Genomic DNA, 26,870 nt, shown 5'->3' on the forward strand with positions numbered 1-26,870 from the left:
TCACTCATGGTTTTTAGAATAAACCGCTTTAGAATATGATTTTTTTAAAAGAGTTGCTTTGTTGTCTTTTCAGGAGGAGGAAATTACCCTTTTTCTTTTTTTGGTAACCATTTGAGTCATAATGACAGCTTAGTCGCCCTTTTCTGCTGATATAACTGGTCCCCCAGATAATAGCACTAAATAAACTTTTTTGGAATATGTAGAATCAGCTGGGCGCAGTGGCTCACGCCTGTAATCCCAGCACTTTGGGAGGCTGAGGCAGGCAAATCACGAAGTCAGGAGATCGAGACCATCCTGGCCAACACGGTGAAACCCCGTCTCTACTAAAAATACAAAAAATTAGCCAGGTGTGGTGGTGGCCACCTGTAGTTCCAGCTACTCGGGAGGCTGAGGCAGGAGAATGGCATGAACCTGGGCGGCGCAGTTTGCAGTGAGCCGAGATCGTGCCACTGCACTCCAGCCTGGGCGACAGAGTGAGACTCTGTCTCAAAAAAAAGAAAAAGAAAAAAAAAAAAAGAAAAAGAAAACACATAGCAATAAATACTGGCCCATCTGTAACTTGGTCCAATACACTAAAAAGGAATAAGACAATTCTCAAATGCCAAGCTTGTTTTCTTTTTTTTCCTTTTTAACTGTACTCACTAAAAAGAATAGTACCTCACCCATAATTTTTATAATAAATTGCTTTAGAATATGATTTTTTTTAAAAGAGTTGCTTTGTTGTCTTTTCAGTAGGAGGAAATTAACCTTTTTCTTTTTTTGATAACAATTTGAGTCATAATGACAGCTTAGTTGCCCTTTTCTGCTGATATAACTGGTCCCCCAGATGATAGTACTAAATAAACCTTTTTAGAATATGTAGAATCAGCCGAGTGTGGTGGCTCACGCCTGTAATTCTAGCACTTTGGAAGGCTGAGGTGGGTGTATCCCCTGAGGTCAGGAGTTCGAGACCAGCCTGGCCAACATGGCGAAATCCCATCTCTACTAAAAAAGTGCAAAAATTAGCTAAGCATGGTGGTGAGCCCCTGTAATGCCAGCTATTTGGAAGGTTGAGGCAAGAGAGTGGCTTGAACCTGGGAGGTGGAGGTTGCAGTGAGGCGAGATCACACCACTGCACACCAGCCTGGGCAATAGAGTGAGACTCCATCTCAAAAAGAAAAAAAAAAAAAAAAACATGTAGAATCACTCTGACAAGACCTATAAAGAAGAAAGCACCCAGTTTCGATCTCTCCCGTAGTCAGACTGAAACCTTCAAAAAAAAAAAAAAAAGGAATAAAGAAAGAAAATAAACGACCCTTCCAAAAAAATTTTAACCCCATTTCATTTAATATAACAGTTTTCTTCAGTTTACTTCATTATAATCTTACTATACTGGTATTCCTCTATGTTCCCCCATGTACTTATATAAGCTCTTCCACATTATTTGGAACTTTCACATCTGTTTTGCCTCTGGCACTCATTTTTCCTTTTTCTGGAAGTAGCAATGGGGGAAACCATTTTGTTCCATGCTCTGAACTGAGCATGTGACCTGGCCTGGCCAAGCAGAACATTCTTTCCCCATGGCTACAGCCATCAGCAAAGGTCAGGCCAGCGGGGCTTCATTCTGTGACTCTAATAGGAACTATTAGGAAACTGGCACTTTCTACTGAAGCTGCTAGGGGTCCCCTTGCCACCTAAAGGGGAGGGCTTGTTCAAATCACAAGAAGAAAAATTTCTCGTGACATCGTTTCAAATCTGTATTCTGATATTTTTTGAGTTGACACTTTATTAAAGAAATTCACTTTTTTACTGAAGCTAGTAAGTTTCCGTGACTCAGAAAAGTGAGTTAAGTTTCTGTCACTCACAATCACAGGAATTCTAATGAGTAGGTTCAGTAGCAAGCATCACGGAGATCCCCCGGAGGCCTGTTTCCTTAAAATCAATGCCATTTATCCCTGTTCTCTACTTACTCAACTCCTGCCATTAGTCACATGCTATGCATTTGACAGACAATAAATGGAACCATTGACTTAAAGAGTATTTAACAATTTAAACAGAAGATACATTACAAAATCTGTTCAAGCTCCCAAATATAATCAGAAAATGACTTACCCAAAGAGAATTGTAACTCCTCCTGAGACAAACATTCCTGCTACAAACATAAATTTTGCTCCAATATGTACAAGCTATAATAAATGTCAAAGAAGAGTGGTAAATTTATGACTTCCGAAAGTCTATATTGATATAAACAAATCCACTGTATTGGCAAATATAGGATAGGGGAAGACATGTACAGTTAATATATTATAATAATTCTTTAATATGGTGACAGTACTCATTGCTTAAAAACATGGAAAGAGTTAAAAATCAATCAACTCTGAGGAGAGAACTGTCAACACTGGCACAATTTATAAAACTATAACGATGGCTATTTCTGTATCAATGCAAATTCTAGACTAGTAAACGAAAATAATCCATCATATAATTTTTAAAAATTAAGATGTGCATATGAACTTTATACTTACATAGTTTCCAAATACCAAGGATGCCAGCAACTCGAACAAAGCAAAACATCCAAAGATCATACCGATAATTGTATTGCTGGCTCCCTTCTTTTCAGCCTTTAAGTAATAGAAACGGAAACAAAGTTTCAAAGAAAAATTAGATCAATATGAAAAAATGGAAATAATAGATCAGGGCATCATCTTCTTGTGAACTTTATCTGTATATCAGTTTCAAAAAGATTATTCTTTTAAAATAAATGGGGTGGGGAAGGAAGGGAAACTATTAATAGTTTAGATAGTAAACCATAGTCTCTTACATGAAAATAATTCACTCACCATACCTATAAAGAATTGTTAGCTTTATGTGGCAAAAGTCAGAATCAGAGTGTATAAACAAACACAAAAAAAATGCCTTGGATAAGGAAATTTGGGCTCTATTGCATAGTCACAGGACTGAGGAAACAGCTGATTCAGACACACTTCCTTTTGGGTATCACATTTATAGGAAACAAACAAAAAACACTGGCCAGTCTTCAAACTCAAGAATAGGAAGTTCCATGAGTGGGCACATGGGTCAGACCAAGGCCCAATCAGTCTAGGTCTCTGTTTCTGACAGTAATACCAATTACCTGACAGTTTGGAGAAGACAGTTTTCCATCCTGTCATCAACAACACAGGTGAGAGATGCTCCCCTGACATTCTACGTTCTCCTGAAACAGCCAAGGTAGTTTATCATCCATCAATTACAGTTACTAATGTTTATAGCCTATTCTATCAGGGAGCTCCTAAAATTTGCTACAGATAATATTTATCATAAATCTACTTCTTTTGAACTTCAAATGCTACTGTGATACACAACTACATTCACATATAAAAATAGAAAGTTTAAAAAACTTTGTCAAGTCCCGGAACTATTGCAAATCCTTAAATCAGGTTCTAGCTATAGAAATTTAAGGAATCAAAATATGAGTTTAATTTCTTTAAGATAGGACTGGCAACTTAGCATACTACAAAAGGAAAGCCCGAACTGTCATATATTGACCGTCTTATATATATGAGGCATTGTACCAGCAGTGAATATTTATGGTCAGAAGAGTCCAGTTTAGATCCATCCTTTTGGCAGAGCTTTGGATTTTCGCAAATAACTTCATAATACAGAAATGCACACATGCGCACATACTTTTGCACTCTTCAACATCCATTCTCTATAACCATGATTGCCTTTCTTTATCTTTTCTCTCTACAATTGATGATAAAAATTTTCTCCATCCCTTCCCATGTAAAGATACTATCATCATTCAATCTTTGTCTTTTTCAAGGATTTTTTTTTTGCATGTCAGACTATGCTTCTTTAAATAAACCATACATTCCTCATAGCGTCATACCACAGGAAGCCAGAGAAGTGAACTCTATTGTTCTAAGCTAAATTTTAGGAAGGATCTCTCTCTTACTCTAGGAAAAGTCCTCAGAAATGTCCCTAAGCACTTGGTGGTGGGTGAGGGCAGAGAGGATGGGCCCACAGCTCCATGGTAATGGCTTGGGCACGATTTAAGCCCATAATTCTTGGGCTTCATAACCAGCCATTCCCTTTCCATGTACTAATAACCACAGGAAATAATGGTGTGGATACAAGAGAGAGTTCATTAAAATACCTTTAATGGCACTGTGACAAATGGTTATGCTGTATGTCAACTGGAACATGAGGTCTACATTTCTACTACACACGGGTCAGGTTCCTCAAAAAGAAAGTATTGTGAAAGGAGTCAATTAACGCATAAGAAAAATATGCGTGCCGGGCATGGGGGCTCACGCCTGTAATCCCAGCACTTTAGGAAGCTCAGGTGGGAGGATCACTTGAGGTCAGGAGTTTGAGACCAGCCTGGCCAACATGGCAAAACCCCGTCTCTACTAAAAATACAAAAATTAGCCAGGTGTGGTGGCACGTGCCTGTAATCCCAGCTACTCAGGAGACTGAGGCAGGACAATCACTTGAACCCAGGAGTCAGAGGTTGCAGTGAGCCAAGATTGTGCTACTGCACTCCAGCCTGGGTGACAGAGCAAGACACTGTCAGAAAGAAAGAAAGAAAGAAAGAAAGAAAGAAAGAAAGAAAGAAAGAAAGAAAGAAAGGAAGAAAGGAAGGAAGGAAGGAAGGAAGGAAGGAAGGAAGGAAGGAAGGAAGGAAGGAAGGAAGGAAGGAAGGGAAAGAAAGAAAAGAAGGAAAGAAAGAGAAAGAAGGAAAGAAGGAAGGAAGGAAGGACATTCATTAGTCAAGTTGCATTATCAATGTTCTTTGCTTAATAGTTCTGATAAGTATTTAATTTAGAATCTAGCAGAAAATATATAATGCCTATAGCAATTAATACTTATTAGACCCTCATTATGAGCCAGAATCTCTTTATTAAGTGCCGTTTTACATGGTATCTAACAACAATTAAATTAAATAAAGGATACATTTTTAGCTGGCCTCATTTATAGATGAGGACAGGAACTTGCAAAGGTTACAGGTCATGAGCCACTACAGTTTCCATCATGTGCATGTTCCCATATTCGCTGTGGAAATGGAATGCTGACACAGGATGTGCTAGAACCACATGCTACAGCAGCAGCCGAATGTCATTTTTGGAACATGGATCCTGCTTCACATTAGGAAAGCAAAAACAGCTATTAAAAGCAATTTCTAGGCCGGGCACAGTGGCTCACTCCTGTAATTCCAGCAATTTAGGAGGCCAAGGCGAGTGGATCACCTGAGGTCAGGAGTTCGAGACCAGCCTGGCCAATATGGTGAAACCCCGTCTCTACTAAAAATACAAAAAAATTAGCTGGGTGTGGTGATGCGCGCCTGTAATCCCAGCTACTTGGGAGACTGAGGCGGGAGAATTGTTTGAACTCAGGAGGCGGAGGTTGCAGTAAGCTGAGACGATGCCGCAGCACTCCAGCCTGGGCATGATGGAACGAGGCTCTGTCTCAATAAATAAATAAATAAATAAGCAATTTCTGGTCCTCTGACAAAAGATGAGTGTGGCAAGAAAAATGATGAATAGAAGTAGGAATCCCACACCATAATTTAAGAAAGGCACTGTTTTTCCTTTGCCCAGTTAGCTTAGCTAATAAGAAAAATGACAGAACATGCAGGAGGAAGGGTGAGGCTTCACCAATGCATTTGTTGACCACAAGATTTTAATCAGAAATGAAAAATCAAAGCCTTCTCTTCATATTTACAGCTTTTAAAGTTAGAATGTTCTCTCTCCTGCCTCTATCTCCTTTCTTTCAGCCTTCCCTCTGCGAGGCGAGACAAAAGTAGCAAATGTAAGAAGTCACATTTTGCTCACTTCTGCTTGCCAGCATAATGTCATAAAACCCCTGACTCTGTGACAACATGCAACTCTTGGGAGGGATGAGTTGAAGACAGAGCAGGATAGAGCACATGGTCCCCCACATCTCTTGCCTGAGCTATTACATTCCTTAAATGATAAATGCCCCAGCTTTGCCTTTTCCTACACATAAGATAACATCTAACAGGGTTGTGATTATGCGTTTATAAACTATTACCAAAGGTACATTCATAATCTATAACCAGATGTACTCTTACACCCAAACTTTGATGTGACCGTGCATGTACTGAGTCTCTACTACCTGTACATGAACTGTGAACTGAAATACTCAGCCTATAGTCCTCGGTAAGACTTCTGAATAAAATGAACTTTAATTCTTTAAAAGCTTGACTTTTTTCTTTGGTCATCATTTCCTATAAGCACAAAACTCAATCAAAAACTTAAAAAGCACACACCCACAGCATGGTTTTCCTTTGTCCCTATTCACTTAGAGGAAACTAACATTAGTTGCACTCACTGAGTTCCAGCTGAGCTAGGAAATGCCCTTCTCACTGGTTGATTCACTCACTCCAATTCTTCTCCATCTCAATTCCACAGGCTCTTATTATTTTTTTTTTAATTTTTTTTTTTTTTGAGATGGAGTCTCACTCTGTTGCCCAGGCTAGAGTGCAGTGGGGCGATCTCGGCTCACTGCAACCTCCACCTCCTGGGTTCAAGCAATTCTCCTGTCTCAGCCTCCTGAGTAGCTGGGACTACAGTCACGTGCCACCATGCCTGGCTAATTTTTGTATTTTTAGTACAGACAGGGTTTCACCATGTTGGCCAGGCTGGTCTCAAACTCCTGACCTCAGGTGATCCTCCCACCTCAGCCTCCCAAAGTGCTGGGATTACAGGCGTGAGCCACCATGCCTGGCATTATTATTGTTATTATTATTATTTAAAAATCCCAAGTCTGGCCAGACTGCTCTTTCTTGCTCAAACACCTCTGATGACTGCCCACTGACTAAGTCCTTGACAAGTGCCCTTCCTTTCTATCTTAGGCCTGCCTCCTCAGATCCACTGTCTCCTATTAGACCTCACTTCACCCCAGGCTCAAGCCACATCAAGAAGCTGTCTGTTGTTCCCCAGGAACATGCCATTCACTCTGCTCTTCCTGTGACTATACCTAGAACACCTCCATCTCTGTTGTTCACCATAAGAATTAACACTTCTTAGGGCCCACCTTAGGCCAGGTGCGGTGGCTCACACCTGTAATCCCAGCATTTGAGAGGCCTGGCCAACATGGTGGACGGATTGCTTGAGCTCAGGAGCTCAACATCAGCCTGGGCAACATGGTGAAACCCCATCTCTACTAAAAATAGAAAAAAATAGCTAGGCGTGGTGGCACATGCCTGTGCCCCAGCTCCTCAGGGGGCTGAGGCGAAAGGATCTCTTGAGCCTGGGAAGTTGAGGCAGCAGTGAACTCTGATCATGCCACTGTACTTTCAGCCTCGATGACAGAGTGAAACCCTGTCTCAAAAAAAAAGCCCCAACTTAGATTTAGCCTGAAAGTTCCTTTCAGTAACGCCCTTTCTTCTGCTATCCACACTCCATGTATGGCAGAATTAACCATTCTTCTTTCTAGGCTCTCATAACATTAGTATGGATAGAGGGAAGCCAGAAGAAAATGATTTAAAAAAAGAAAAAAAAAAACAGTCTTATAACATTCTGGACATCCTTTTCTTAAGGGATATCCAAATTATTGGAACCTTTTTTTTCCCATATTTTTTCACTCCCAAAGGGCAGACAAGAGAAAGCCATTTCCCTGATTTTTTTATACTACCCTAACACATCCCATGCTTAGCCTGCTCTAGAGAAGGGACTCATTAAACCTCTAGTTAATAGAACTGAATTGGGCAAGTCACAACTTCTGAGACCGTTTCTTCATTTGCAACATGCTGAGATTCTCAAGATTCTGTATGAGGTTGTTGCGGGGATTAAATGGATAAATAAGGGGTAATGTGTACTAGAAGCCAGAGAGCACTGTATGGGTACATGGCAATATTGTTCCTTTAGCAGAGAAGCCACTTTATCTTCTTTTGTAACACACAGAACGAAGGACTACATGTTTAAAAGGCAGTTGGAGGACTAACAAGCTTCCACTGCACTGTGAGCCAAGGATTTGGCAAAAAGCACAAAATAAAACACATGGATATGTTGTCTACACTCCAAGCCAGTCATATTCATTTCATACTATATCCTATTGACGTCTAGAATCCAGTTGGACTTTCTAGGGATTATTATCTTTGAATCTGTGTCATTAGCTATAAATCTTAACACCATATAAAAGGCTATGCCTAGAAGGAATAGGCCCTATTAATCAGAATTCCTCCCTTGCATAAACATTGGCGCTAGAGTCCATAAGAAATTAAAGTCAAAAGAGGGAATATGGAGCGGGGCCGGGGCTGGGCGTGGTGGCTCACGCCTGTTATCCCAGCACTTTGGGAGGCCAAGGTAAGCAGATCACCTGAGGTCAGGAGATCGAAGCCAGACTGCCCAACATGGCAAAAACCTGTCTCTACTAAAAATACAAAAATTCGGCCGGGCACGGTGACTCACGCCTGTAATCCCAGCACTTCGGGAGGCGGAGGCGGGCAGATCATGAGGTCAGGAGATGGAGACCATCCTGGCTAACACGGTGAAACCCCGTCTCTACTAAAACAATACAAAAAAAAAAATTAGCTGGGCGTAGTGGCGGGTACCTGTAGTCCCAGCTACTTGGGAGGCTGAGGCAGGAGAATGGCGTGAACTCAGGAGGCGGAGCTTGCAGTGAGCCGAGATCGCGCCACTGCACTCCAGCCTGGGCGAGAGTGCGAGACTCCATCTCAAAAAAAAAAAAAAAAAAAAAATTACCCGGACGTGGTGGTAGGCGCCTGTAATCCCAGCTACTCGGGAGGCTGAGGCAGGAGAATCAATTGAACCCGGGAGGCAGAGGTTGCAGTGAGCCAAGATCACAACATTGCACTCCAGCCTGGGCAACAAGAGCGAAACCCTGTCTCGAAAGGAAAAAAAAAAAAAAAAAAAAAAGGAAGGGGGGTCGGGAATCAAAACGTCCTAATTCTAAAATGTGAATAAAACCTCGAGAAAATAGTTACTGTCTTAACACAGACCTATTGCAGTAACATTTGAATCTCAGTTATTCAGTGCACTCCTTTGTTTCAGTTGCAGAAACCAAATAAAGATTAATCAGACTACATGGTAAGAAAAGTAATTCTCAGAAGATCAACTACTTTTAGGTGAATTACCTCCCAAGAAGATGTTCTTTTTGACTGGATTTTTTTTCCTGGTATCAGGCATTCTATAAGAAGTATTCTATTGGCTGGAGTTCTATACACCATCTGTCCTATATGCAGATTTTTACATTTTATATACTATAAAATAAAATAATTCAAAAGGCTTTTAAAAAACAAACAAACAAAAAAACAGAGGTCCTAAGGATTTAAAAATGTCTTACCTCTTTGGGGAAAAACGGTCCAAGTATAGAATAGCACATCATGGAACCTAAGTTCACCGAAGCTGCCGATATCAGTACAAAAACCTGTTCTCTCGAAAGCCACCCGGGGGTCTCTCCTGCACTTCCTGCAGGATCATCACCTTGAATGCAAACATGCAGCAATTAGGCATATAATTGAGACTACTGATTAAAGTACACAAATGTGATTTCTGTGCACATATGTTGCACTCTGAAGATATCATTTGCTAAGCTTAGGGCTATTTTGAATATAGCACATTTGATCAAATGGAACACAATCCTTGTACATTACTGCCGTTTTGAAAACGTACTGCTTTCGGCTGGGCACGGTGGCTCACGCCTGTAATCCCAGAACTTTGGGAGGCCGAGGCAGGCGGATCACGAGGTCAGGAGATCGAGACCATCCTGGCTAACACGGTGAAACCCCGTCTCTACTAAAAATACAAAAAATTAGCCGGGCGTGGTGGCGGGCCCCTGTATCCCAGCTACTCGGGAGGCTGAGGCAGGAGAATGGCGTGAACCCGGGAGGCGGAGCTTGCAGTGAGCCAAGATCGCACCACTGCACTCCAGCCTGGGCTACAGAGAGAGACTCCGTCTCAAAAAAGCAAAACAAAACAAACAAACAAAAACAAAAACAAAAACAAAAAACAAAGATTTCTAAGGCAGTATTGAAGTCAAATGAAGTGTAAGTAGGAGAAAACAAGCTAAATCATTCAGCTGGTGAATTAATATTTACAGCGGTATGCTTCTGGATAGACAAGTCCCACAAATTCATAAATAAATACTTTTTTTTTACCCTAATTACTGGTCTTTTACATCAGTTAATTTAACACTTATTTCCAGGGCTAAATTGTCATTTAAAAACACGAAATCAATTACTGAGTTCCAAATATCCAAGCAAATCCATCAGCCATTTATAAATTAAATTGTTTTTAGGAAAAACTTAAGAGAAATACATTTGCTTTGCTCTATTTGTCAGAGGTTGCCATTGCAGTCCAGAAGGAAAAAAAAAATCAGTGCAACATGAGGAAGTCTTACGAATCTTTGTAAAATGTTTGTAGTAGATGAGAAAGGGAAATGAAAGTTAAAAAGAAAGGCAACAACAATGGGTACTTGAAAGGTAACGTTTTACATTTGCCTAATGGCATACTTATTTGAATGCATTAAACACACAGTACTTAAAAAGCAGAGGTATAGGTTAGAAAGTCATTAGAAACCGTGACACATATCCAATCCTGGAACTTTACCCCGTCCAGAGAGAAAAGAAACGCTGGCCCGAACCCCACGATCAGGCCCCAGCCTTTTCCAATCTCTCGGAAACAGATCAAGCTATAAGCAATTCAATCGTTGCTAAAGAGACACGCCGGAAGCCGCCGCTGGTCTCCGGGCTCCCGGCCACGCAATTCATGGTCACCTCCTGGTGCGCGTGGTCCCTCCAGGTCACCCAGCGCCTCCATCCCCGGTGCGTGGACTCCGGCGCCCCAGCTCCCGGCTTCAAGCCACGTCCTTGGACTCGACCTCCAAGGAGCCACTGGCACTCTGGCGGGCGGCCGCTGCTCAGCTGGAACCTGGCATCCCCGACTCCCTGCAGGCAGCGATCCGCCCGGCCCGGAGCTCCCCAAAGCCTTCCAGGACTCTGGGTCCCCGGGAGGAGGCCGGGGGCGGGGCAGGGGTGGAGCAAGGCTCCTTTTTTTTTTGTTTTGCGCCCCCCCCCCGCCTCATTATCTTAATCCACCACCTCAGCTGCTATATCATGGTGTCCTTTTTCATTCTGTGACAGAGAGTGAAAAAAGATGAGTCTATATTCCATACAGCTGTACCCCCCTCAATCTTAAAATAAGTTCAATTTATTCCTACGAAACGAAAGAAAGGAAGCTTATGTAGACACAGAAAAGGCAGGGAGTACCTCAACTGAAAGACACAAAAGTGAATTAGAAAATTAGGTTATACAGGAACTTTGAAAGAGTGAATTATTTTTCACAGTGGGTAAATGCGGTAGTGTTCGTAATTACTGAAGCCAGACACTATTGAACCGGAAATGAATTAACCTATGTGAAGCACCTGGAGTCGAAAAATATTTGCAAGAATACTAATGAATATCGAGGAAGCATGGCGAAGTGGCTAGGAGTGCGACCTCTGGAGGCAGGTGCCAGGGATTCAAGCCAGGGCACTTGCTGGCAGTGTGTAACTTTGGATGACAAGGTCAGTTTCTCTACCTGTACAACTGAGATTATAATGTTTATCTCGTAGGGCGGCTGTGAGCATTGGCGATAAAGTGTGTTAGTAGTTAGCACATGAACATGATGGCTGCTACCTTACTCTCACACTCACAGTTTTCTTGCATAAAAAATAGGTTTCACTTATTTTCACCGTATTTACTATTTGGGAAGTGTTAAAGCTCGAGGACTGGCTGGACACGGTGGCTCATGCCTGTAATCCCAGCAGTTTGGGAGGCCGAGGTGGGCAGCTCACCTGAGGTCAGGAGTTCTAGACCAGCCCGGCCAACATGGTGAAACCCTGTCTCTACTATAAAAATACAAAAAAATCAGCCAGGCGTGGTGGCAGGCACCTGTAATCCCAGCTACTAGGGAGGCTGAGGCAGGAGAATCGTTTGAACCTGGGAGGCGGAGGTTACAGTGAGCCAAGATCCAAAAGAATTGTGTGAGGGTAGCTTTATCGACTGAGAATCTGCCTCAGATCCACTGTACAAGGTCAGTTCCAGTACACAGTATGGCTGATAGTAAGTTTGTAATTACTGTGCCACCTCATTCCAGCCTGGGTGAAAAAGCGAAACTCTGTCTCAAATAAATAAATAAAGTTTAAGGACTGGGAAATTCTTGTTTTGAAGCCAAAGCAAAACAAAAGACTGAGTTACCACTTTGTGCCAGGCATTATGAATTTAAAGAGGAATGAGCCCCATCCAGACTCTGCCCTCAAGTAGCACACCTTCTAGCAGATGAAATTCACACTAATTAATAATCTACTATAATGCAATCGGTTGTATACAAACATATTGGAAGAACCATTTACTTTGGCAAATGGGTCCTGGATGACTTCCTGAGGAAGTGATGTTACCTTGGTTCTTGAAGGTTATGTAAAAACTCCCCAGTGAGGGCCGGGCGCGGTGGCTCACGCCTGTAATCCCAGCACTTTGGGAGGCCGAGGTGGGCGGGTCACGAGGTCAGAAGTTCGAGACCTGCCTGACCAACACGGTGAAACCCCGTCTCTACAAAAATACAAAAATTAGCTGGGCATGATGGCACCCAGCTACTCAGGAGACTGAGGCAGGAGAATCGCTTGAACCTGGGACTCGGAGGTTGCAGTGAGCAGAGATCATGCCATTGCACTCCAGCCTGGGCAACCGAGCGAGACTCCATCTCAAAAAAAAAAAAAAAAAAATTCCCCAGTGGGCAAGTTGTAAAGGAGAACCTAGAGAACCACTCTGAACAGAAAGTTCCACTCTAAGCCAGGTGCTGTGGCTCACGCCTGTAATCCTAGCACTTTGGGAGGCCGAGGCAGGCAAATCACCTGAGGTCGAGAGTTTGAGACCAGGCTGACCAACATGGAGAAACCCTGTCTCTACTAAAAATACAAAATTAGCTGGGCATGGTGGCGCATGCCTGTAGTCCCAGCTACTCGGGAAGCTGAGGCAGGAGAATCGCTTGAACCTAGGAGGCAGAGGTTGTGGTGAGCCAAGACAGCACCATTGTGCTCCAGCCTGGGCAACAAGAGTGAAACTCCATCTCAAAAAAAAAAAAAAAAAAAAAAAAAGAAAAGAAAAGAAAGTTCCAATCTAGCAAAGTTTCCCTAAAGTAGCCTTATGAAATCTTTATGATCTAACCCCTGACAGCTTCTCCAATCTCATTTAACTCTATGCTTTCTCTTCAATCTAACATCAATCTGTAGAGGGAAATTTTCTTGAATGATTTCTTTGATGATTACATTTCCTCTTTTATTTTCTTTCTGGACTGCACTTTATGTGAATGTTGGGTCACCCAAACTGGTCCTTTTACTTATTTCTCTTTTTCTTCTCTCTTTTATTTTATTTTATTTTTTTTAGACAGGGTCTCACTCTGTTTCCCAAGCTACCATGACATATAATGGCTCACTGCAACCTCAAATTCCTGAGCTCAACTGATCCTCCCACCTCAGCCTCCCGAGTAGGTGGGACTATAGGCCTGTGCCACCACACCTGGCTAGTTATTATTTTTTCTTTTTTTTTCCTCCATGTTATAGGAAGTATCCCTAACTGTATCTTGCCATCTGAATTTTTGCCAACTGAATCTTGCCAACTGTATCTTGCCAATTGAATGTTTCATTTCTGTTGCCATCTATTTCCTTGTATCTCCATTCTCATTCCTCTCCCCATTTGCAATAATTCTTGCATGTTTAATGCAAATCTTGTTCTTTATGTTCTCAAAAAAATCTATGTTCTTATGTGTCCATCTACTTTTAATTTACATAAAGTCTATTCATATCCCTATCCTCCGCTCCTCTTGTAATCTCTACCTCTCATTCTCCCTTCAGATAATCAGTTTTATAATCAAATATATTATTGTGTTAGTTTTCTGGGGCTGCTGTACAAATCAACACAAATTTGATAGCTTAAAACAAGGTCCTCAAAGCCAGAAGTTCAACATCAGTTTCACTGAGCCAAAATCAAGGTGTCAGCAGGATCATGTTCCCTCTAGAAGCTCTAGGGAAGAGTCTGTTTCTTGCCCCTTGAAGCTTCTAGTGACTATTGGCATTTTGTGCCACATCACTGTAGTCTCTGTTTCTGTGATCACTGTGCCTCTTCTTTTCTGTGTGTAATCTTCGTTTGCCAGTCTCTTGTAAGGATATTTTGAATGAATTTAGGGCCCACCTGGATAATCCAGGATGACCTCTTCATCTCAAGTTCTCCAATTTAGTCACATCTGCACAGACCCTTTTTTTCATATAAGGTAACATTTACAGGTTCCAGGGATTAGGATGTGGACGTATCTTTGGAATCCATTATCAGCCTACCACAATTATCTATTCATAGTTTGATATGCTCATTTAGACATTCATACACATATGGAATATTTGTTTCTTTACAAACTAAAATGGAGTAATATGGTCTTTGTTTAAATGCCACCTCCTCAGAGAAATTCATTCTTTTTTATTATTTATTTATTTAATAATAGAGATGAGGTTTCACCATGTTGCCCAGGCTGGTGTCAATCTCCTGGACTCAAGCAATCCATCTGCCCTGGTTCCCCAAAGTGCTGGGATTACTGCCGTAAGCCACCATACCTGGCCAAGAAATTCATTCATTTTTTTTTTTTTTTTTTTTTTTGAGATGGAGTTTCACTCTTGTTGCCCAGGCTGGAGCACAATAGTGCTATCTTGGCTCACCACAACCTCCACCTCCTAGGTTCAAGCGATTCTCTTGCCTCAGCTTCCTGAGTAGCTGGGACTACAGGCATGCGCCACCATGCCCAGTTAATTTTGTATTTTTAGTAGAGACAGGGTTTCTCCATGTTGGTCAGCCTGGTCTCAAACTCTCAACCTCAGGTGATCCTCCCGCCTCGGCCTCCCAAAGTGCTGGGATTACAGGCGTGATCCACCGCGCCCGGCTAAGAAGTTCATTCTTATGCCCTTATCCAAATACAGCCCTAGTCCTCCTTTGTCCTTTCACCTTTCTATTTTTCTTCCTGGCATTTCTATCAGTCAGAGTTCCCTGTTGCTAATAAAAAACAAAGCAACGTTGGCTAATTTAAGCAGAAAATGAATTCATCATTGATTATTAGGTAACACATAGTATCATCAGGAGGATCATGCATACCACTTAGAGGCTAAGTGCCTAAAGTCACACCACCTAAGCGGTCCAGTATGCATGGCACTGCAACCCTGCTGGACGTACATCTCCAGCACATGCTGCCAATACCACTGGAGCCAGGTATGAGACACTGTAATTAGAACATCATCCCCACTCCTCAAGAATGCTGCCACTCTCACCAGAAGAGATTTTAGGTGGTGCTAGCTTCTTCCACTCACTTGCTTCCATTGCATATCAAGACCCAATGTGTTTGAAGTCAGGCAGTAAAAAGTGTCCAAGTACGTTCTTCTTTTTCAAGAGTGGTTTGAATATTTTAGTTACTTTGACTTTCTAGAGAAATATCACAATTAGCTCTCATATTCTCCAAACAACCTGGTGGAATTCTTACTGGTATTTTTTTTACTCCATATATCAATTTGGAGAGAACTGATATTGAATCACTATTAAGCTTTTAATCCATGAACATAGTATATCTCTCCAATTATATAGATATTTCTTTCATAACATTTTCACATTTTTCACCGTGTAGGTATTATATGCCTCATGTTAAATTTATTCCTAAATACCTTAGTTTTAGAAGCTACTAAAATTGATATTTTTATGTTTAAATTTCCAACAATTTGCTGATTATATATAAAGGTAAATGAACTTTTATATTAATCTGGTATCCTGCAATCTTGCTAAATTTCCTCATTAGTTCTAGTCATTGTTGTATAGATTCCTTTAGATTTTCTACATAAACAATTATGCCATCTGCGAATAGAGTTTTACTTCTTCCTTTCTGAAATGTATGCTTTTGTTTCTTTCACTTATTTTATTGCACTGACTAGGACGCCCAGTAAAATGGTGAATAAATGTGGTGAGAATGGAGAGCCTCACTTTGTTCCCAATCTTACAAGAAAAACACTTGGTCTTCCATTATAAAGTATGAGGTTAGCTGTAGGTTTTTCACATGTGCCTTTCAGAAGATTAAGGATGCTACCTTCTATTCCCAATGTGCTGAGAAATTTTAAAATGAATTTGTGTTAAATTTTATCAAATAGTACTTCTGCGTCTATTGTACATGGTTTTTTCTTTATTCTGTTAATTTAATAAATTACACTGATCAGTGGTCTAATGCTAATTGTCTAATGTTAACTTTGGATTCTTGAGATAAATCTTGCTTGGTCAAGATGTATTCTCTTTTCTTATATATTGCTGGATCAATTTGCTAATATTTTGTTAGAGGTTTTTTTTGTCTATGTTTATGAGTAATGTTGATCTGTAATTTCTTTTTATTTTCTTTTGTCAGGCTTTGGTAGTAAGTAATTCTGCACTCATAAAACAAGTCGAAAACTTCCCCTCCTCTGGTATTAACATGTATTAATTTGAGAAGATACTCTACTTACATATAAGGTAAGTATTGATGGGGTTGGGTTTACGTCTACCATTTTACTATTTGTTTTATATCTTCCCATCTGTTTTTTACTCATTTGTTTCTTCTTCTTCTTCTTTTTTTTTTTTTTTTACCTTATTTTGGCTTAATTAGAAAAAAAGAGATTTTGGAATTCCATTGTAATTTGTATGTTATCATTTTACCTATATTTCTTTCAACTATTTTTAGTCATTGCTTAGGAATTACAATACACACATTCTTAATTTTTTTTGTCCACTTAGCATTAATATTGTAGCACTTCATGGAAAATGTAAGAACCTTGCAGACTGTTAGACTCATACAGGTGGCCTTACCCAGCAGCCACCTCTTCTCTCTTCATCCTTCATTCTTTAGTTGTCATACGCATTATATCTATGAAGACACAAAGTTCATCATGCAATATTATAATTTTTACTTTAGATAGCTATATGTACTATTTAATCAAAAAGAAAAATAGTCTGAAATTTACCCACATATTTACCATTTTCAGTGTTCTTCATTCCTTCTAGAACATCTAAATTTTCCATCTGATATCATTTTTCTTCGACATGAGTAACTTTCTGTAACATTTCTTCAAGTATGAGTCTTCTGGTGATGAGTTCTGTTAGTTTTTGTTTAGCTCTGAATGTCATCATTTTGTCTTCATTCTGGAAGAGCCTTTCATTGAATATAGAAATATGGGTAGCAAGTTGTCTTTCAGCCCTTTCAAGATGTGGTTCTGTTTTCATTTGGCTCCTATTTTTTGAGAGAAATTAGTGGAATTTTGTATTATTGGTCTCCTGTATGTAATGTGTCTTTTTCCCCATAAATGCCACTGTAATTTTAACTTTGAGTTTTAATATCTCACTTATGATATGCCTAGGGTTGTATACGTGTGTGTATTTATTCTTCTCAGGGTTCACTGAGCTTCTTGAATCTGAATTTATGTGTTTCACCAAATGTGGGAAGCTTTTGAACATTATTTTCTTTCTTTCTCTCTCTCTCTCCTTTCTCTCTCTCTGTCTCTGTCTTTTTCTTTTTCTTTTCTTCTAGATGGAATTTCACTCTTGTTGCCCAGGCTGGAGTGCAATGGCATGATCTTGGCTCACTGCAACCTCTGCCTTCCAGGTTTTAAGCGAGTCTCCTGCCTCAGCCTCCTGAGTAGCTGAGATTACAAGAATGCTCCACCATGCCCAGCTAATATTGTATTTTTAGTAGAGATGGAGTTTAACCAAGTTAGTCAGGCTGGTCTCAAACTCCTGACTTCAGGTGATCCGCCCACCTCGGCCTCCCAAAGTGTTGGGATTACAGGTGTGAGCCATTGTGCCCAGTCTTATTTCTTTAAATATTGTTTCCTCCCTCATTTTGTTGCCTTCTGGCACCCCAACTGCCTATATGTTAGTCTTGTGTATTCTAATTGAGTATATGTTAGACCTTTAAATTTTGCCCAACAGATCATTGCAGCTCTATACATTTTTTTTTCAATTGGCTTTTTCCCTCTCTATTGGATAATTTCGGATTTATTTAAAGTTTACTGACTCTTTCATCATCTCCAATCTATTGCTGAACCCTTCCAGTAAATTTTTTATTTCTCATATTTTACTTTTTAGTTTTCGAATATCTATTTGATACTCTTTTATGGTTTATACTTTTCCTATTTATTCATTCATTATGAACATTTTTTACATTCTTAATCATATTTTTAATGGCTGCTTTAAAATTCTTGTCTGCTACTTCTAACATATGATCATCTTGGGATCCTTTTCTCTTGAGTATGAGTCATGTTTTCTAGTTTTTTGGTATACAGCATAATTTTGGATCATATCGAAGACATTGTTAATGATACATTGCAGAGATTCTGGATTCTGTTACATTCTTCCAAAGAATATTAATTTTAAAAAAGAATTTAGCAGAGAGTTTACCTGCCTTGACTCAAACTTCATGTTTCTCCAGTGATGGGAAAAGCAGCAGCTGTAATCTCTGTGCATTTTGTTTAGCCTTACCTGTGTTGCTTGGAGGTTTTTTTTTCTTTTTCTTTTTTCTAACATGGAGTCTCGCTCTGTCACCCAGGCTGGAGCGCAATGGCACAATCTCAGCTCACTGCAACGTCCACCTCCTGGGTTCAAGTAATTCTCCTGCCTCAGCATCCTGAGTAGCTAGGATTACAGGGATGCGCCACCATGCCTGGCTATTTTTTTTATTTTTAGTAGAGACGGCGTTTCACCATGTTGGTCAGGCTGGTCTTGAACTCCTGACATTGTGATCCACCCACCTCAGCCTCCCAAAGTGCTGGGATTACAGGCATAAGCCACTGTGCTACCCCATGTGTGTGTAGTTCAGAGCTCAGCCAGAGATTGAGGCAGAGTATACACGGAAAATTCTGGTTTTCCCCTCTCTGGCTCTCTCCTTTCTGGGATTTCCCTCCTTTCTTCAATTTCCAGTGCCATGGTTATTCTGAACTCTTGTGATGGTTAATACTGAGTGTCAACTTGACTGGATTGAAGGATACAAAGTATTGATCCTGGGTGTGTCTGTGAGGGTGTTGTCAAAGGAGATTAACATTTGAGTCAGTGGGCCGGAAAAGGAAGACCCACCCTTAATCTGGGTGGGCACAATCTAATCAGCTGCCAGTGTGGCTAGAATATAAGCAGGTAGAAAATGTGAAAAGAGAAACTGGCTTAGCCTCTCAGCCTATATCTTTCTCCCATGCTGGATGCTTCTTGCCCTTGAACATCGGACTCCAAGTTCTTCAGTTTTGGATCTCAGACTGGTTCTCCTTGCTCCTCAACCTGCAGATGGCCTATTGTGGGACATTGTGATTGTGTGAGTTAATACTTAATAAACTCACCTTATATATGGGTCGGGTGCAGTGGCTCATGCCTGTAATCCCAGCACTTTGGGAGGCTGACGTGTGTGGACCACCTGAAGTTACAAGTTTGAGACCAGACTGGCCAACATGGTGAAACCCCGTCTCTACTAAAAATATAAAAATTAGCCAGGCGTGGTGGCGCATGCCTGTAATCCCAGCTACTCAGGAGGCTGAGGCAGGAGAATTGCTTGAACCCAAGAGGCGGAGGTTGCAGTGAGCCAAGATCATGCCATTGCACTCCAGCCTGGGCAACACAGCAAAACTCTGTCTCAAAAAATATACATATACATATATATATATAGAGAATATATATTATATTTTATATATATGGAATATATATAAAATATAATATATATTCCATTAGTTCTGTCCTTCTAGAGAACACTGACTAATAGAACTCTGTTCTCTGGTTTTTTTAAGGCATTACAACTGAGGAACTCTATTAGTTGTTCCGTGTAGCACTGACTAAGGGTCTCCTCGTGCTAACACTCATAAAAATGGAAAATCATCCAGTGTCATTCCTTCTTCTTAGTGTTGGTCCTCACACCTATCCCCTAGTTCCGTCTGCTTTTGGTCACTCTCCAGTGTCTTCAGGTAGTTATTTTTTGTTTTGTTTTGTAACATTTTCAGAGTTACATTAGTTATCTGCAAGAAGGTTAGTCTTGCAGAACCTCCTAGTAATTAATATTTGTTGTATTTTATTAAACTAATAATCTTTGATGGATTGGGTGAAAAATCCTCTGATAGTCATTTTATAAAGCACTGCCTTAAGAGGCTTTTGATCAGGTCCTATAACCAAGACCCCTGGAACTATTCCATTCCTACCATTCCCTAGACCTGACTTCTCAAACAAACCGTTCTATTCTTACCATTCCCTAGACCTGACTGCTCAAACAAACTGTTCTATTCTTACTATTCCCTAGACCTGACTGCTCAAACAAACTGTTCTGTTCTCTGAGCCATCCAGTACATTTCTAATAAATTCATTTTTTAAATGTTGGCCACAGCTCATTCCATTGCATGCAAAGAATTATCACTGATACAGTATTATTCAAATCTTCTACAATGAACATGCTTACTTGTTCTAATATTTAAAAAGCAATAACTGTTATTTACAAATAAAGATATCATCTGTAAGTTGGAGACATAGGAGGGAAGCAGGCATTAACTGCAGCTCATAGTCATGTGGATAAAGTCAAGTGAAATCAGAAAACTAATATAGCAGACAGCATAGGATGTTCAACATTTACCAGCAGTGAAAATTGTTTGAAAATAACGAGGTAGAATGCTGAAACTGAAAAAGTGCTTAAGGGTATCTCGTATAATTGCCTACTTCATTTTGCAGATCCAGAGTTTGGAAATCTCTTGACCAAGGCTGCAGAGTCAGAAAATGATAGAGAGGAGAATCTAAATCAAAGAGTCCTTGAATCACCAGTCTGCCCTTCGCATTCATTTGTAGGATTAGAACCTACAAATATAAAACAGGACTTTTTTTTAATGTAGCTTCAGTTATAAGAATAGGAGTGGTACTGCCTTCATTCTAATGATTCTCTAATAAGAACTGCATGCATCAAATACATTTTAGAACATCAGGACTCATTTTCAAAAGAAATGTTGTGCAGATAACAGCAGGGGAAGCAGCAGAGAGGGCTGGAGTCTCCCCCACACCAGCCCTCTTTGTATCCTAAGGGAATCAATTTAATGTTAATTTAAGCTTTTCTCTACCCTCCACTACTCTTTATTTCATTTATAAATTATTGTGTAGCGGCCAGGTGCGTTGGCTCATGCCTGTAATCCCAGCACTTTGGGAGGCTGAGGCGGGCAGATCACCTGAGGTCAGGAGTTTGAGACCAGCCTGGCCAACATGGAGAAACCCTGTCTCTACTAAAAATACAAAAATTAGACAGGCGTGGTAGCGGGTGCCTGTAATCCCAGCTACCCGGGAGGCTGAGGCAGGAGAATTGCTTGAACCTGGGAGGCGGAAGTTGCAGTGAGCCAAGATCGTGCCACTACACTCCAGCATGAACGACAGAGCGAGACTCCATCTCAAAAAAAAAAAAAAAATACTGCGTAGTTGGTTTATAATTAGTTTATTTATAAAAATTGGCCAGGTGTGGTGGCGGGCGCCTGTAATCTCAGCTACTCAGGATGATACTTATAAAGTATTATCTCTAATTATATTCCATAGTATGTTTGTTTAGTTTCCATGAACTCTAAGTCAGCCCTGTAGTGTGCAGCTACTGTACCCCAAGAGTTGTGGGTAACATCTGGTAGCAATAAAAAAAAAAAAAGTGGATGGTTGGGCACAGTGGAGTTCAAGATCAGCCTGGGCAACATAGCAAGACCCTGTCTCTAAAGAAAACAACAACAACAACAAAAAAGAACAGATAAAAACTACAAAACAAGCAGGTGAAGATATATTCTTACTAAGACTTGTGAAAATTTAGATGATAATTACACAAAACCTCCAAAAATATAAGCTATTGGCACAGGCTTCATACTTAGCTATACAATAATCTAGCCCCATTCTCCCCTACAACCTTGTTTTCACTTAATAAACATGTTAACTTTACAAGCTACTACCAACAGCCTTTATTAGTCTATCCCACTCTTATTAGTGCATCTGCTTTCTTATTTTCTGTTTTCTTCTCTCTTTGCAACTTCTCTTTTTCCTTTAATTCTTCCTTTGATACAATGGGATTCTATTCAAATCTTTCTTCAGCTATGACTAATTTTTCTTCAGTATGTTTAAAACTACATGCTATAATAAATGAGAGTTAAGCCTATATGTTCCTGAGTTGCAGCAGTATAGTATTTTTTAGTTTTTTTCTCCTATTTCTTATCACTCATTTCCATCCATTGTATTTAGTTTCTACCCCCAAAGGTAAGGAAACTTGAAGTTTTCAAATTAAAAGTGATTTTCTGGGATGCTCAAAGCTTCCAACTAACTCCCAACAAATTCTAATTTATTATGGTAGTCCTCAACATGGCTTTCCTTTAAGTATGACATCTACACAAGAGGCTTTTTTTTTTTTTTTTTTGAGGTGGAGTTTTGCTCTGTCGCGCAGGCTGGAGTGCAGTGGCTCACTGCAACCTCCGCCTCCCGAGTTCAAGTGATTCTCCTGCCTCAGCCTCCCAAATAGCTGGGATTACAGGCACCCACCATCACACTCAGCTAATTTTTGTATTTTTAGTAGAGACGGGGTTTCACGATGTTGGCCAGACTGGTCTCAAACTCCTGACCCCATGACCCACCTGCCTCAGCCTCCCAAAGTGCTGGGATTACAGTCTGAGCCACAGCACCCGGCCCCAAGAGGCTTCTTTAATCTTATTTCACTCAGTGAATTCATTCAGTACACATGTGTTTAGCCTCCAATATGCAATTCACTGTACTAAGTGCTGGATGGTTTAGGACAGGAGAAAGGTAATATTTAAGAAACTCTCCATGTATTTTCATATGAAGTTCTTTATAAGGTAAATTACTTTACAGGCATAGTGGTAAACACTTTAAATGACTATCTCATTTAATCCTCACAGAAATATTATAGCATTACCACCATTTTACTAGCTCAGAAAGAAAATAACTTGCCAAAGGTCGCAAAGTAAGCTGGAATTTTAACCCTGCACAGTTGGGTCCTCCTGACCACTCCAAGATATAAAATCATTATTATGCCTCAGCCCGGTTTTTGTCTCCAGCTCTGGTCTTCAAAGTAAGTTTTTTTGCAGTTCATCTCAAAGATGCTTTCTTTCATTTGATCATTCTGTATCTCCTCCTTGTCATCTGTTATGAGTTGAACTGTGTTCCCTCAAAATTCACATGTTGAAATCCTAACCCCTTCCACTTCAGAACAAGACCTGATTTGGAACAGGTTTGTTGTAGACGTAATTAGTTAAGATGAGGTTTTACTGGAGCAGGTGAGCCCCTAATCCAATATGGCTGATATTCTTATAAAAAGGAAACATTCAGACACAAAATCAGACATGCACATAGGGACAACATCATGCGAAGATTGGAGTTATGCTAACACAAGTCAAGGAACACCAAGATTGCCAACAAACCTCCAGAAGCTAGGAAAGATGTGTGAAATGGATTCTTCCTCACACCCTCAGAAGGAACCAACACTCCCAACACCTTGACTTCAGACTTCCAGCCTTCAGCATTATAATAGATTTCTGTTGGTTAAGCCACCCAGTTTGTGGTACTTTGCTATGGCAGCCCTAGCAAACTACACATCTACACTTAGATAATTCAGAAATCCAAATTTCTAAATCCAAATGCAAATTTTTCTGCCTAACAGCAATATTCCCTTCCTCCATCTATATAGTTTTTAGCACAGTGGGATAGAACTAGCTGTACTATTGCCAAACCAGAGACGTAGAGAGTCATTCTTGAATTCTCGGCAATCTCCTTTCCACATTCTGGCAATCATTCAAATGACCGAAGGGTTAGGAGCACAGGCTTTGAAGTCCACTGAGCTTAAATACCAGCTTCCACATTTATTAGCTGTGTGATCTTGGGCTACCTAAGCCTTGGCTTCCTGACCTGTTAAAGTGGGCTAATACCATCACTACCAGATAGGGTCTCCATAACAATAAAGGGGAAAAATGCCTGAAAGAATTTAGCGCTTTATCTGGCATATAGAAAAAGTGAAACAAATTGCCTGTTATTATCAGTATTGTTCCTAAAACAAACTTCAGAATACATTTAGTTTTCATATGTGTGTCAGACTCATATTTGTGCACATGTGTTATACTCTGCTGGTATGAGTGACCAACCACTATCCTCTATGTAGTATTGTCTTCCACCTTTACCAGTCTCTGAAATTGAGAGGAGGTAACCTTAAAAATGTGAACTAGGAGGCTGGGCGCAGTGGCTCACACCTGTAATCCCAGCACTTCGGGAGTCCAAGGTGGGCGGATCAACCAAGGTCAGGTGTTCCAGACTAGCCTGGCCAACATGGTGAAACTCCCATTTCTACTAAAAATACAAAACTTAGCTGGGCATAGTGGTGGGCACCTGTAATTCCAGCTACTTGGGACTGAGGCAGGAGAATCGCTTGAACCTGGGAGGTGGAGGTTGCAGTGAGCCAAGATCCCGACACTGCCTTGGCTACAAGAACAAAACTCCATCTCAAAAAAAAAAAAAAAAAAAAAAAGTGAACTAGGAGAATCTATATTAAAGAACCCCTGTATCACCAGTGTGCCCCCTGACTTCATTTTGGGGGTTAGAACTGGTTATATAAGTAGGACTTATATAAGTAGGTTATATAAGTTATATAAGTAGGTTATATAAGTAGGACTTAAAAAAAAATGTAGCTCCCTCTAAGGAGGGAGGTTTGTGTGAAAAGACATTTTAGTGCAGTGAAACATTAAAGCAGAGATCCACGATGTCTGAGTCAATAGAACAGATTAGCAGCTGCTGAAAGATAGAAACCAAGTCTGAGCTGGTTGGTACTGGGAACAACTGCCTTAGCTAACAAGGCACTTGATCATTTTCCCCCCACATAAATATGCTGTTTGGCAGTGAATGTTTTCACTTAGGTTTCCCAAATTCCCTGCTTCTTCCTTAAAAATTTGTTTGGGGAAGGAATCTAATATGCTTAGCATATCAACTGTACTGTCTTTAGATAATGAGAAATGCGCTGAAAGACTATTTGCCACATTCTCTTTCAAAAATACAAACGTGTTAATTATAACCTCCAAAAAAGGCAAGAAGGATTTCATGCCTTTGCCCCTACACTTTCATCCATTTAGAATACCCTCCTCTCCTTCCATGCTCACCGATTTGGAATCTCTTAGTTTTTGTTTTGAGCCTGTTTCGAATGCTGCCAGAAGCCTGAGGTCCTCTTACCTTTTCACACCATCCCCACTCCCTAACCCCCTGCCACTTTGTATCTCCTCTGTGGCCCTGAGGTATTCTGATTTTTGTCTAAAATCTTAATCCCACCACAAACAAACCAGGGCTACAGGAATGAATCATCTTTATAAATTCCTCGTTTTTTTTTTTTTTTTAAATCAAAAGCTCAATAAACATTTGCATGAGTTACTGACAGAGAAGCAGCTTCAACGCTTTAAAAATGAAACTGAAACCAGCGGAAAATCTAAAACTGAACTCTATCAGTAAACTGAACTCTATCAGTTTATTAACATTACAGCAGGTCTCTGTTCTGGTGAACTCCCTGGTGCTCTTACTGCGTTACCCATTTTTGTTTTTTTCGCTGCACTCACCAGTCTAACAGTATCTGCCCACTGGATTCACAGCGCTGGCACGTGCCAAGCGCCTAATAATTGCTCACTGGTTTGGCGGCTGACTACCCAGGAGAGGAAATTAAACACAAAGGCAGTATTGATCATATTCAGTAGTGTTTCGTGCGTTTGGTTTGGAAGTGGGGATTGGGGAATGGCCAATCACTTCCAAATTTAAAATATTGCTTCCTGGAAGAAAATGGACTCCTCAAAGACTGGATATTTCATGTCTGTAGTCCCAGGACCTGGCCCTGCGTCAGGCACATTGTAGGTGTTGAAAATGCACCTGAGGAATTCTGAGTTGCGCGGAACTGTGTATTCCGAGCACAACGCGTCGTTAAAAACCAAACAAAGCAGAACAAACTTCGTTCAGAAGCGACTCCCGCTATACTTAGAAACTAGAATTGACCCCTGGCTGCAGGGTTCCGCTTTACCAACACACCGCAGGGAAAGGGCTTAGAAATAGTGAAAGCGGCCGGGGGCGGCGGGTCACGCCTCTAATCCCAGCATTTTGGGAGGCCGAGGCGGGTGGATCCCCTGAGGTCAGGAGTTCGAGACCAGCCTGGCCAACATGGTGAAATCCCGTCTTTACTAAAAATACAAAAAATTAGCCAGGGTGGTGGCAGGCGCCTGCAATCCCGGCTACTCGGGAGGCTGAGGCAGGAGAATCGCTTGAAACCGGGAGCCGGAGGTCGCAGTAAGCTGAGATCGCGCCATTGCACTCCAGCCTGGAAGAGTGAAAGCATGTAGGCTCTCGTTTCATGAAGACAAAGATGAGGATCACACCCACAACGACACAAACATGGTCTCTCAGGGTGACTTAGAAGCGAAGGAACAAAGTGCGCTGCCTGGGGAGGCTGGGTCTTGTAGAAGCAACAGGAAAGTAGAACGTGGTGTGGAAAGGGTTAAAACTGGCGCTCGGCGGGATACAGGGCTCTAGGTGCCTTAAAGAACACGCGGACACACTTGTTTGGCTTCTGTCGCGCTCCGTAGAATGAGTTCCCTGGGCCTCGGTGGGCCACGCCTCCGCAAAGAAGGACAACGCGAAGCTGCCCGCGTAGTGCCTGTTGCACTCGCCAAGGACCGGCCTGGCAGAGATAGAAAACTCGCAGTACGTTTGCCTCAGAACCGCCTCAATCCGGAAACAGAAACTCCCCAGGCCCGGCACTGCGGGAGCCACCTCTTTCGAGGGTGGGAGTGCACATGCGCACAGGGGACCTGAAAAACCCTTA

The 26,870-nt window shown here is 41.0% G+C and overlaps 1 protein-coding gene and 1 long non-coding RNA gene across 4 annotated transcripts in view, besides 6 other annotated features; both read right to left on the reverse strand.

The window, feature by feature from the left end:
- The window catches only part of SLC18B1 (solute carrier family 18 member B1), a 29,268-nt gene extending 18,303 nt beyond the window's left edge, over positions 1-10,965 (reverse strand). For 2 of the 3 annotated variants that reach the window (NM_052831.3, XM_047418166.1), the window contains exons 1-4: positions 10,742-10,965; positions 9,310-9,449; positions 2,505-2,600; positions 2,092-2,165 (exon numbers count right to left, since the gene is read on the reverse strand). In NM_052831.3, the coding sequence (NP_439896.1) occupies positions 2,092-2,165; positions 2,505-2,600; positions 9,310-9,449; positions 10,742-10,784 (353 nt within the window). In that variant the 5' untranslated portion in view covers positions 10,785-10,965. Of the gene's footprint in view, positions 1-2,091; positions 2,166-2,504; positions 2,601-3,112; positions 3,194-9,309; positions 9,450-10,741 lie in introns of those variants that run through there. The other variant, XM_047418165.1, reaches the window with a different exon arrangement.
- Positions 9,251-9,751: an enhancer, noted in NCBI's record as "H3K4me1 hESC enhancer chr6:133118062-133118562 (GRCh37/hg19 assembly coordinates)". NCBI's record gives its function as "activates a minimal SCP1, AML or CMV promoter by ChIP-STARR-seq in naive H9 embryonic stem cells {active_cell/tissue: H9 hESC(naive)}" and the evidence as "EXISTENCE:reporter gene assay evidence [ECO:0000049][PMID:30033119]".
- Positions 10,983-11,032: a silencer, noted in NCBI's record as "silent region_17553". NCBI's record gives its function as "represses an Ori minimal core promoter by ATAC-STARR-seq in GM12878 lymphoblastoid cells {active_cell/tissue: GM12878}" and the evidence as "EXISTENCE:reporter gene assay evidence [ECO:0000049][PMID:35858748]".
- Positions 16,686-26,616, reverse strand: LOC107986644 (uncharacterized). Its single transcript, XR_001744345.3, has 3 exons — positions 25,621-26,616; positions 17,026-17,279; positions 16,686-16,916 (listed from the first exon to the last, which is right to left on the reverse strand). It is a non-coding gene; the product is annotated as an uncharacterized LOC107986644 (long non-coding RNA).
- Positions 25,363-25,432: an enhancer, noted in NCBI's record as "active region_25076". NCBI's record gives its function as "activates an Ori minimal core promoter by ATAC-STARR-seq in GM12878 lymphoblastoid cells {active_cell/tissue: GM12878}" and the evidence as "EXISTENCE:reporter gene assay evidence [ECO:0000049][PMID:35858748]".
- Positions 25,862-26,608: an enhancer, noted in NCBI's record as "H3K27ac hESC enhancer chr6:133134673-133135419 (GRCh37/hg19 assembly coordinates)". NCBI's record gives its function as "activates a minimal SCP1, AML or CMV promoter by ChIP-STARR-seq in naive and primed H9 embryonic stem cells {active_cell/tissue: H9 hESC(naive and primed)}" and the evidence as "EXISTENCE:reporter gene assay evidence [ECO:0000049][PMID:30033119]".
- Positions 25,862-26,802: a biological region, named in NCBI's record as "H3K27ac hESC enhancer GRCh37_chr6:133134673-133135419".
- Positions 26,523-26,802: an enhancer, noted in NCBI's record as "active region_25077". NCBI's record gives its function as "activates an Ori minimal core promoter by ATAC-STARR-seq in GM12878 lymphoblastoid cells {active_cell/tissue: GM12878}" and the evidence as "EXISTENCE:reporter gene assay evidence [ECO:0000049][PMID:35858748]".

This window comes from Homo sapiens, chromosome 6 (genome assembly GCF_000001405.40).
Source record: "Homo sapiens chromosome 6, GRCh38.p14 Primary Assembly".
Taxonomy (NCBI): Eukaryota; Metazoa; Chordata; class Mammalia; order Primates; family Hominidae; genus Homo; species Homo sapiens.